General features: G+C 44.8%; 1 protein-coding gene across 6 annotated transcripts, besides 4 other annotated features; it reads left to right on the top strand.

Moving 5' to 3' along the window:
* Positions 1-80: an enhancer, noted in NCBI's record as "active region_23656". NCBI's record gives its function as "activates an Ori minimal core promoter by ATAC-STARR-seq in GM12878 lymphoblastoid cells {active_cell/tissue: GM12878}" and the evidence as "EXISTENCE:reporter gene assay evidence [ECO:0000049][PMID:35858748]".
* Positions 101-360: an enhancer, noted in NCBI's record as "active region_23655". NCBI's record gives its function as "activates an Ori minimal core promoter by ATAC-STARR-seq in GM12878 lymphoblastoid cells {active_cell/tissue: GM12878}" and the evidence as "EXISTENCE:reporter gene assay evidence [ECO:0000049][PMID:35858748]".
* On the top strand, positions 277-9,782 carry BOD1 (biorientation of chromosomes in cell division 1). 6 transcript variants are annotated; one of them, NR_164700.2, is made up of 5 exons: positions 277-727; positions 3,672-3,796; positions 7,257-7,349; positions 7,493-7,689; positions 8,635-9,782. NR_164700.2 is itself a non-coding variant. In NM_138369.3 (4 exons), the coding sequence occupies exons 1-3, from the start codon at positions 491-493 to the stop codon at positions 7,686-7,688; spliced, it is 558 nt and encodes a 185-aa protein (NP_612378.1). In that variant the 5' UTR covers positions 277-490; the 3' UTR covers position 7,689; positions 8,635-9,782. The 6 variants fall into 6 exon arrangements, 2 of the variants coding, with proteins under 2 accessions (NP_612378.1, NP_001153123.1); NR_164703.2 differs by having other exon boundaries at positions 3,672-3,800; NR_164702.2 differs by lacking the exon at positions 7,257-7,349 and having other exon boundaries at positions 3,672-3,800.
* Positions 341-410: a silencer, noted in NCBI's record as "silent region_16640". NCBI's record gives its function as "represses an Ori minimal core promoter by ATAC-STARR-seq in GM12878 lymphoblastoid cells {active_cell/tissue: GM12878}" and the evidence as "EXISTENCE:reporter gene assay evidence [ECO:0000049][PMID:35858748]".
* Positions 421-470: a silencer, noted in NCBI's record as "silent region_16639". NCBI's record gives its function as "represses an Ori minimal core promoter by ATAC-STARR-seq in GM12878 lymphoblastoid cells {active_cell/tissue: GM12878}" and the evidence as "EXISTENCE:reporter gene assay evidence [ECO:0000049][PMID:35858748]".
* Positions 9,783-11,123: the final 1,341 nt, after the last annotated feature.

The raw sequence follows: 11,123 nt of genomic DNA, 5'->3' as shown, positions 1-11,123 counted from the left end.
GTGTTGATTGAATGGGAAGTGAGCAGAGAGTGGGCGGGGAAGGCCTGGCGGGGAAGGCCTGGCGGGTTGCAGCGATCACGAGGCCTGCGCCTACAGTTCCCATATTACCCCGCGAAATCGCGACGAGCAAGCACGAACCCTGCCGGGAGTTGTAGTTTCTCTCGGCTAGGCCGCTGCCTATAAAGAACGCCGGAGATGGCCACAGAAAACTTCCCGCCCCACAATGCAAAGGTCAACGTTGACGCCATCTGGGGTGCGCCTGGAATCGAGCAGGCCGTTTCTGCCGCGTCCACCACAACCTCTGCTGTATCAGAGGGGGCCTTCGCCGCCGCCGCCCCCACCACCGCCCCTGCCGCCATCGCCACCTCCGCCGCTGCCGCCTTGGGGCCCTCCTCCTTCACCGCCCCCTTCACCACCTCTACACGTTCTAGGCCTTCTGTCCTGGAGAAGAAGCTATAGTCGTTCTCCCTTGTGGGCCCGGGGCGCAGCCATGGCGGACGGCGGCGGCGGCGGGGGAACTGGCGCGGTGGGCGGCGGCGGAACTAGCCAGGCCTCTGCCGGGGCAGCGACTGGCGCTACTGGGGCCAGCGGGGGCGGTGGCCCCATCAACCCGGCCTCGCTGCCTCCCGGCGACCCGCAGCTCATCGCTCTCATCGTGGAGCAGCTCAAGAGCCGGGGCCTTTTTGACAGCTTCCGCCGGGACTGCCTGGCCGACGTGGACACCAAGGTAGCTGCGGCCGCCTGGGCGTTGGGGAGCGGGGCTGCACGTGAGGCCGCCGGGTGGCAGCTTTGATTTTCGAAAGCCGAGAGCAAAACAAAAGATAGCTTAGAAATCTCAGCGGTGAGGTCTTACACCGCTTGGGGCAGTACGGAGAGCTTTCTGAGCGATGCACACGTGGGTTCCTGCCTGATACATTTACTACTAGTTGTGATTTTACCCAGTCCCTTCTCCGAACTTGGGGTTTCAATGTGGGTTTTAGAGCCTAGACCGTATCATTCCCAAGATGGAACTCCTCTGAGGCCCTTAATAACAAACTTCGAAACCAAGTAGATAAGCAAGCGTGCTTTAGAATTTCCACCTGTTCCGTACTCACCACTGAGAAGCTGGCATTAAACACAATGATTTGAACACACAGTCATCACCATTTTATAGCTGTTTATTCCTTTTCTCTAGCTCATTGTTTTGCAGACTAGTACGGCGTTGAATTAAGATAAATTGTAGAAACAGCACCCTTATTTTGCACTTCATCATTGATAAAAGGAGATTTGGTGCCTAGTTGAGATCCTAATGCCATTGGTCAGTCCCACCAGTAAAACGCTATTTCACTTTACCTACTCGTCAGGGTGGTTTGGATTCAATGAAATAATGGGTGTTAAGTATCAGACATACAGTAGTTGCTGGAATGTTCATTTTCTTCCTTTTCAAAACTTGTCTAGCCACGACTGTGGTTGTAGGTTAGGAGACCCTGTCACTGGACTCCTGCAGGGTAGTGATTTCTCCTACCAGAGCCTGTCATGGAAACATTTTGCTTACCTCACAGCAAGATTGTGAGCTTAGAATTAGACCTTAAGATAGGGAAAAACGTAGTCTGTTTATTCGTTGAACGTTTATTGGCCTCTAGTTGCCAAGCTGTGCGATTACAGGAATAAGTCACTACCCCATCCTCAAAACTTATAGTCTAGGTTAGAAAACTGACATGTAAATAAACCAGGTGGTAAATACGGATGTAGAGAGAGAAAGTGGTATACACTGTTCCTTCTCCAAGATGAAAAGCCCAACTAGAAGTCTGTCCTTGAAACAAAGTAATTTAATACATATACATCCCAGATCTGTATTGACAGAGCTTTCACCTTTCCTAGGACAAGTTCTCCATTCATATTTCTTATATTCCGTTAGGTTTTGTGTGTGATTTTAAAACAAAAGCGACTACAGTAGCCCGCCCCATCCAAGGTTTTGCTTTCTGCGGTTTCATTTACCCAATTGTTGCGGTATGGAAGTACTTGTGTTCAGGTAACCCCTATTTTACTTCATAATGGCCCTCAAAGACATTCATGCGTAGTGTATATAGGGTTCAGTACTACCTGAGGTTTCAGGCACCCACTGGGGATCTTGGAACGTATCCCCTGAGGGGGGAGGGGACTACCCTCTTGAGCGGCTGGTGAGGGAGAGTGGTTGGAACCTTCCCATGTACAGCTCCTTAGCTGTTCCTTCTGAGAATTCCAGGTTGTTTTAGTTCTTGAAGATAGTGTTTTTTCAGGCATATCTTATCTGAGACCTTTGTTGCTTCAGCCCAGTGGTTCTCAAAGCGTGGTGCTTGGATTAACATCAGCATCACCTGAGAACTTGTTAGAAATGCACATTTTGGGCCCCACCCCAGACTGCTGAAGTATTTAGGGGAAATTGAACAGATGTCTGTAATTTACTTTGCACTGTAATTTACTTTGAACTGATAAGTGAACAGGTGGAGGGGTTGGTAGTACAGTAAAACGTTATGAGTGGGCTCATGAGTTCCTTTGACTTCTTGAACTGAGATGATTCTGTATCGCCTGGGTTTGTTACGTGTTTTGGTGGTGATGTTCACTGTCCTTTGTCCTTTTTCGGTAAACAGTTCGTATCATCTCAAACCAGGTGCGTTATTTTGAGTAGACGGTATGGCATCAGGATTTATGCTTACAAGGGACAAAAATAATCCTAACTGCTTTATGCAAAGGGGAGAATCTATTGTCTTACGGAATCCAGGGAAGGATTGAACGAACAAACTCTCCCAGAGGGTGGTAGGCGTGCGTTTGGAACCAGATATTCCCCATTCGTTCTGTCTTTCATCTCTGTTGATATCTGTTTTACTGTTGGTTCAGAGTGGAGTCATCCATTTGGTTACTAGTATCTCTTGATTACATTTTACAGCTTCTTCCTCTAGAGAGAGGCTGTCAGCTCCAATCTGGGAAATCCCAGGGAATGTCTGCATTGTCTTAGCGTGGCTCAGGCACCCACTCCTGTGGCACCCTCTGCCCTACCCTTGTGAAGAGAGGAAGACAGTTACTAGAAAGAAGGCGTTACTAGGCAGATAGCACATGGTATCTGTGAATTTTACTCCTCTGCCCCCATTTCCTTGCCTTTCTCTTTTCCAGGTTTAGTGGAGTCTTTGAGTTTGCTCTCTCAACCTTTTGGAAGAGGCCAGTCATGGAATTGAGGCCTGCTGGTTCCTTTGTCAACTTCATTTCCCTGACTGTTAGCAAACTTTGCCGCAGTAATGCTGCATAGCAAACTGAATCTCAGCAGCTTATAACCAGCACTTGTTCACATGTTCATGGGGCGGCAGGTCTACCAAAGTTCAGCTGAGCTAGGAAGGCTTCAGCTGGTGGCTTGGCTGCAGGCTGCCCAGGTGTGGGTCCAGGCTGTGGGTTGATGTCAGGCCTGCTGCATGTAGAGTTACTTAAAAGCAAATGGAATAATATAAGTAAAGCGCCTGGCATTGTGCCCACCCACCATCAGGTGGGCACTTGTGTTAACCATTAATTCCTGACTGCCACATTGCATGGTGATCTTCATGCACAGTGGAAGTGTATTTAGACTTAATAACGTTTCTGTGAAAAGCAGTGTTCTGAGAGACTAAGTTCAAAACTTTGGTGCATATAACTTCTGACCTTGCCTCCTCTTTTTAACATTTTAGCCAGCTTACCAAAACCTGAGGCAGAAAGTGGATAATTTTGTGTCAACACATCTGGACAAGCAGGAATGGAATCCTACGATGAACAAAAACCAGTTGCGAAATGGTCTGAGGCAGAGTGTGGTTCAGTAAGTAAGCAGAATTTAAAGCTTTTGAAAAGGCAGTCATCACAAGTGTGATGCACAAGAAGGTTGAGGTCTCTGTTTAGTCAAGGTTGATGGGACTTTATATCAAGTATCACTTAGGAGTTGCAGCAGTCTGCTCTTTTGTTATAATTAAGGTTAAAGGAAGCAAAGTACTCAGTTGAAATTCCAGTTTCTGCAGCCTGTGAAGGCCTCCTGTGTGCATCTCTACTGGGTGCATCAAAAGGCATTCCAAATCGTGAGACATTTTCCCTGCTCTTTGAAGTTTCAGTGTTGTCCAAACATATATGTGAGTTTTATACCAAGATATCAGGGTTTGGATCTTGGGCAAGAGGAGTTGGATCTTTATTCTCACAGGTGAATGTGAACTAAATAAATTCTTTGAGTCCACCAGGACTGCCACCTCTAAAGTGTAATGGTGACAGCTTTCAGGAAGGCATAGTCTTAATAAAGTATCGTACTTCACAGTAACAAACTGAACCTTAGTTAATAAAGGTGCTATTGATAGCTTATCTGAGTGACGCACAAAAGTGGAGGTGGAGGAGGGTACAGAAATGGGAGAACACATTAGTGATTGCCTGGGGTTACGGATGGGAGGAGGGGGTGAGTGTGACTTGCAAGTGGTAGCACAAGGGGGAGCTTGCAATGGTGCAGTTAAGTGTCACTGAATTGTGCTGTGCTCACGTGCAACAGCTCGTATGGTAAAGTCGCACGGAGCTACACACACAAATAAGTGCAAGTGTAACTGAAGTCTAAATAAGGTCTGGATTGGACCAGTGTCATTTTCCTGGTTTTGATATTGCACTAGTTACGCAAGGTGCTGACATTAGAGCTGGCTGGGTGAAGGGTGCGTGTGGAACTCCCTGGACTCTTCTTCACAACTTCCTGTGAATATGCAGCGATTTTAAGATTTCTAAAGTTTTTAAAAGTGTTTTACTAACAAGCTAGTACTTCCAATATGGCTGAATGCTGGGAAGAAGCCTGATAGCAGAAGATGCCCAGTGCCTTGTCATTCTGGAGTCAGTACCGAGTGCCTTTCCCTTTCTCCAGAGAACAGACTGGTGGCACCGGGCTCTTTCAGAAAGAAGGGGACAGTAGCTGCCCCTTACTGAGCAACTCTTTATTACATGTCTGGCACTGGTCTTTACATATATCACTCATCCTCATGAAAAGCCTGTTTCACAGCTAAAGTCACTTGTGTTTACCCTGTCTTGAGTAAATCAAAACACTGAACATTCTGAAATATTTGGAAAGTTGCCATGATTGTATGAAGGCTGTTAACATTGCTTTGATTTCTGTAATGAGCATGGATGTCATTCTAGAGGTATGCATGTGGCGCTTCCTCTTGCATTTCTTTAGTAGGAATTGTAATACGGAAAAGTGCACAGAAGTTCAGTGAAACAGATAATTAGAACATCCCTTGATCACCCAGATCGAGAAATGGACTCACACCCCCGAAACAGCCTAGCTCCGGATGTACTTTCCTCCTTTCGGAAGTTTTCCATATTCCTGACTTTTATACTAATCATTTCCTCTCTGCATAGTTTTTACCACCTCTGTGAAGTTGTTGTTTTTTTTTTTTTCCCTGCTTTTTGATTTGACTTAGAATGTGTTTAACCTGAAAACATGAACTTGGCTTTAATACTGGGACATTTCTCCACAATTCTTGCTAGCATTTTGAATTTGAGGCAAAATCTACTGGAGTTTCGAAACGCAGACTTTCTGCTTGCCCCCAGGTGCTCTCCCCAGGTGGACACTGCAGGCCTTCAGAGCATTGGCTCACTGGCCTGGCTGTTCTGGCCCAGATGCTGTAACCCAGTGCCACAGCCTAGAGGGTTTAACAGGAAATTAGCCTGTGCTATTGCACTGAATTATGACGAATAACTCTTGTAACTGTACAATATTTGTTTTTTCCATCTTGTACATTGGGCTCCTGACAAGATTTTATGTTTTCCTCAAAAGTTTAAGAATCTCCAGGAAAGTGAGCTGCACTCCCTTGGTAGTTTGTTTCCCCTGATCAGGGGTTTTGGTCAGTTGGGGATGCTTTAACAAGGCGCCGTAGACTAGGTGGCTTGTAAACAATGGAAATTTACTTCTCACCATTCTGGAGGCTAGAAGTCCAAGACCAAGATGCCAGCATGGTCAGGTTCAGGGGAAGGCCTTCTTGCAGGCAGCAGACTGCCAACTGCTTGTTCTTCTCATGTGGTGGAAAGAGAGCTCGCTAACTTCCTGGGGTCCCTTTTGTAAGGGCATAAATTGCATTCGCGGAGGCTCTGCCCCCATGACCCGATCGCCTCCCAAAGGCCCTACCTCCAAAGGCCATCACATTAAGGATTAGATTTCAACATAGGAAGTCTGGGGGACACAGGCATTTAGTTGATAATATCAAGCTTTTACATCTGGTAAAGGACCCTGTGAATCCGACTCAGGAAGTGGTTTGGTAAAGTTGGAAAGGTATTGGCTTGTGACTGAGGAGAGGTGGCTTTCCTTTGTTAGCATCCCATAGCCGGATGCTAACTTTGCTGTATTTAACGATGCTCATCACTAAGGGCCGATACTGTCTAATGCCTGGTCTACCTGAAAATGTGCCCTTCAGTGCTCTAGTGGTGGTGTATTTACATCTAGGCTTCCTGTCGATAAGCTGTTAGTTACCATTGAATCCAGGGAGCACTTTACACACTAATCATCTTTCCCAGTTCACAGCCTGTTTCTTATCTTCTTTGTCATGATGTACATTTACTCATGTCTTTCCTTTGCTGTACCCTGACAGACCATTTGCCCACTTGCTGCCCAGCCTATTTTTACCCGAAGGCTTAAATGGCCTCTGAAGTCTCAAGTCTACGGGAAAATAAGTAAAACCTGCCCACATGCTTGTGATGGTATTGGAATATTTCAGTCCTTTGAGAAGAACACTTCACTTTGAACCTTACGGGCTATTTTCCAGACTGTCCAAATATGATTTGTTTCCTCTCACCATCATTTCCAGTACCCTGTCCCAAGTGTTTGAATATAGACATTGATATGCCCTGATTTTTGCTCTACTTCAGAAAGGATCGGGGATGTAATTTAGCCCTCTAGGAGCTTGGAACTAATTTGTTTGTCTATTTCTTGTTTGCTTCCAAGTTGCTTATTATGTGTTACAGGTAGCAACTACAGCTGAAGGCCATGGTGAATTGCTGGTGATGTAAATACTCCCAGCCCTGACTGATCGGCCTTGTTTAAATTTTAAGGATTAGTAAACAGGTTGCTGCTGGAGCTACTTCTGCTTAGGCTATTAGGAGAATAAATGTTGAAGGAAATGGAGTCCAATTCGGGGCTTACTGGCTTTGACAGTACGAGGAAGCTTTTCAGTGCCACACGTGTCAAACTCTTTCTCACCATGCTGTCATTTGTTTGTTGTTTTGGAGCAACTCACTTAGTTTTGTTTTTGATTCTTTTGTACAAGGTTGGGTGATTGTGGGTGAGATTGTGCAGTAGGAATAACAGCTGCTGGTTGAGAATTACCCCTCAAAAGTGAAAATAGCGTGAGCTGTATATGGTAAGTGGATTGACCTCTAAACTCCCTAGAAGGGCTGTAGCTTTGAAGGTGGACATTTATTGGGCTCGCACGTGACACTTATTGGGGCTAAAGATGAATCCCGAAGGAACTAAATAACAGAATGATCTGTTTGTCTCCACAAGGTCAGGGATGTTGGAAGCTGGAGTAGACAGGATTATTTCTCAGGTGGTGGATCCAAAACTTAACCACATCTTCAGGCCACAAATAGAACGAGCAATTCATGAGTTCCTGGCGGCCCAGAAAAAAGCAGCTGTGCCAGCACCCCCTCCAGAGCCCGAAGGCCAGGACCCTCCAGCTCCATCTCAGGACACTTCCTAAGGTCCAGTATCCTATCTTCTGTCCAGGAGTATGCATCTCTGGCTTGTAGATATGTAAAATGGATAGGAATGGGGTAGGCCGTAATTGAGGATCATTCAGGAAGTATTTACTGCAGATGGACTTCACCTACTGTTATAAGTCACTTTTTACTGAGAACTAATTAGTAGCAGTTTCCTGTGTCAGTGACTGATTTTCTGTTCCACCAGCGCTAAACATGTAAGCTATGGATAGATGCTTCATTAGAAATCAGCTGGGATGATTGGTGTGCATAAAGGGGATTCAAATGAAAGTCTTATTTTGCTGAAATGTTTAAATGAGTCTCTCCTGGACATGAGTTAACTTAGGCTTGCAATTTTATTTAAAATCAAGCAGTGCCTTCTGAAGTGATATCCTAAATGGGATTCAGAGTCTGCTTTGAGTGCGACTCGATTTCCATGAATTTAGAAGGAGTTTGTTTACCACTATCAATTACCATGGGATTCTTCTGTTAGGAACACTCCCCCTTTTTAAATTAAATTTGGAATTAAATGTAATTTTAAACAGCTGTAGATGTACAAAAGAATGCTTTTTGCAGGTTTTGGGAGACATTAGTAGGAGCAGCGATGAAGTTAGCAGTGGACTTTTCGCCGTTGTTGGTGACTGCTGGGATATGTTTTATCCCTTCATTCTGATTTGGTGTTCTTTTTAAGATTCTCTGAGATGCCTGTTATAATCAGTAAGTGAGGTGAATTGACTAGGGCGTTTTGAGTGTCAGTGATGAGCAACGCAAGAGCATCAGGACTGTCTTTTTGTTCCTCTATTGAGAGAAGCCCTTGAGTCCAATATGGAGTGTAAAACATTCATTTTAAGTCTTTCTTTTTAATTGTAAATTCCTTTAGGAACATAAAAGTGAATATAGTCTGTTATCAATAAATAACATTTTGATATGATTATCTTTCCTTTTTAGAATACGCCAGACACCTTTTGAAAGCTAATTTTTGGTGAAGAAATGGATTCGGTTACATAAGAGTGCAACTTCAGACTGAAGATAGGCCAAGGTCGTCACTGATCTCAAGATTTCAACCTTGACCATGGGCAGTGACCAGATTGAAAGGGGAGCAAGTTCGGCAGTGGGAGAGTTGACCGTGTCACCCCCTGCATTGTGCTGCCATTTGGCCAGCCTGTCCAAGGGCATGACACCAAGTAGACACTACAGAGAGAGAAACACTACAGCAACCCAGGGTTGTCCTGAAACAGACTTTTATACTTGAACATGGAGACTGCACATGGACTTTAGGGTTTGTGCTGTGGGATAAACGGAAGCTACAGTGAGAACATAGCCAGTCCCAAAGACAATTTCAAAGAAAAATGACAGTAAAGATTAGCTGGGAGTAGTCTTTGACAGTGCTTATTTGATACTGTCTCTCAGAGTTTGCAAACCAGATTGTACAAGTCATTAGCGTCAGATAGCTTTAAAGTTGTGACCTTCTTGTACATGAATCTTCTAGCCAGTTTCCTTTCCTTTGTAACGAAACATGAAATCCTAGAATGTATGAGAAGTTCAGACATTAGGCATAAGGAAACTCGTTTGCAGGCTCTCTGTCCAGGGCTGCTTCCTGTCCTGGAGGGGCCAGTGAGTCTTAGGTATGTTTATTTTATTCTCACATTTGTGTTTTTTTAGAAAAGTGAATGGTCAATAAATGGCTTATCTTTCATAATAAAATTATTTGATACTTTTACTCCGAAGCTTCAGCTGAAGCTTAAACCTCAGGTCTGTGAAGGGCAACCTTTGTCTTCTGCCTCTGTGCACCACACATGATCTACTGGCAGTGAAGATTGGTACATATAACTTGGAACTATGAAACTAGTAGGTGTAGCTAGTAGTGGGCTGTTTCTCTCCTCCCTGAGCCATTACTGACACTGGTCTTTAGTTGAGGTAGTCCGTGGTATGTGTCAGTGTTTGTCATCCTTGTGTGTGCAGAAGTAGCACCTGGGGATTTAAGGGAAAATGCATATTTCTGATTAAGAAGTTCTGGGGTGGGACCTAAGAGTGAGTGTTTCTGACAAGCTGCCAGGTGATGCTGATGCTGCCAGGCCTCTGAACATACTCTGTATAATAAGCCTTGGATAATATATCCAAGATTATGTCTAACTAAGTCTGTGGTTCTTGGTTGAGTCTACTACTGCATATTGCTGCTAATCTGATCAAAATTTTAACCAATTCAGTTGGTTCCCTGTTAAGACAAAGGCTCCACTTCCACCTTTACCATGAATACCCCTGTATGAGCACTGCAGTGCCATATTCAGCAAGATGCTTGGTAGCATGTGCCCTAATTTTAAAGCAAACTGGCCACACGTTTAAGGCAGGTGCCAGTTATATCTGACGTGTGGTCTGTTCCCACCTGGTAGGTGCAGTTCCATTTCAAGCTGCCTTACAGTTGCAGGAGTCAACAAAGTTCTTAACCCCAGAAAATGGACCCTCCACTCCTCTCTACTACTAGGCAGACAGGGAGTGGCCAGAATTAACCAGTCCTGTGCTTGCAGAAAAGCTGCTCAGACTAACTGGAGTGTCTCCTCTTCAGGACCACATAGCTTTAATGGGAAGTTCCTTCCCTGTGAGGCATCCTTCTGGGAGGGAGATCTCCACACAACTACTTTGTGTTGACCCTCCCAACATCTTGCCTATCCCGCACTGACCTCAACTAGCAACAAAGGGCAAAAGCCCAGAGAAGGCTTCACCCTTTCTGCCCCCAAATGCTCAATTAACTGCATTTTATATATGTTTTTGGCAGACAGTTTTTGGTTCATCTCAGTTCTCTTACTTTGCTGCTGCTTTTACTAGAGATGGCTGGACCAGTTGATGAGAAACACCCGAATTTTCACAGAATGTTAAATGTGCCACATACCAAAGAGTTTCTATTTTTTTTTAAATCATTCTGTTATATCCACCAAGATTCACCTAGATTCGAGATTATTTCATTTGAGAACGTGAGATTATAGAAGTAATTGGGCACATCGTTACTGTTGGGATGGACGGTGGACTTTTTGGCTCTTAGCAACACTGAAAGGGAAGACGTGCCTAGATTGGTTTGGGTAACCATATTCAGACTGGCACAGGAAGGCGAGTCAAGACAATAGCACTAGAAGGCTTAGGGGAAAGAAAGCCAGCCTCTTCCTCCTCAGGAACTGGTCACCAGGTAAGCCTCTTTGCATCCTCAACTGAGTTCTCATGTTTTAATTGGGTTCGTGATATAGAATCTAGAAAAATTGTGTATGTTCTGAGATCCTGAGGAAGACAAGACCACCACAAAATTCCACCTCTTAAACACACCCTTGCTTAATTCAGTCCTAAACAAATTAGCTGTCACTGACCTCAAGCCAGTTAGGCCTCTCTCTAGTTGGGAAAACTGCTGTTTGCAAAAGCCCAGTAAAACACAGTTAATACATGAACAAATA

The sequence above is a fragment of the Homo sapiens genome, chromosome 5, assembly GCF_000001405.40.
Source record: "Homo sapiens chromosome 5, GRCh38.p14 Primary Assembly".
Classification (NCBI taxonomy): Eukaryota; Metazoa; Chordata; class Mammalia; order Primates; family Hominidae; genus Homo; species Homo sapiens.
Note: the sequence above shows the minus strand (reverse complement) of the source record. Positions and strands in the feature narration are given on the sequence as shown.

Bases quoted from the DNA above. Each gene is read 5' to 3' on its own strand.
- BOD1 (NM_138369.3), top strand. From the start codon at position 491: ATGGCGGACGGCGGCGGCGGCGGGGGAACTGGCGCGGTGGGCGGCGGC. The intron at 728-3,671 runs GTAGCTGCGGCC...TTAACATTTTAG, and splicing joins TGGCCGACGTGGACACCAAG to CCAGCTTACCAAAACCTGAG. The intron at 3,797-7,492 runs GTAAGTAAGCAG...TGTCTCCACAAG, and splicing joins CTGAGGCAGAGTGTGGTTCA to GTCAGGGATGTTGGAAGCTG.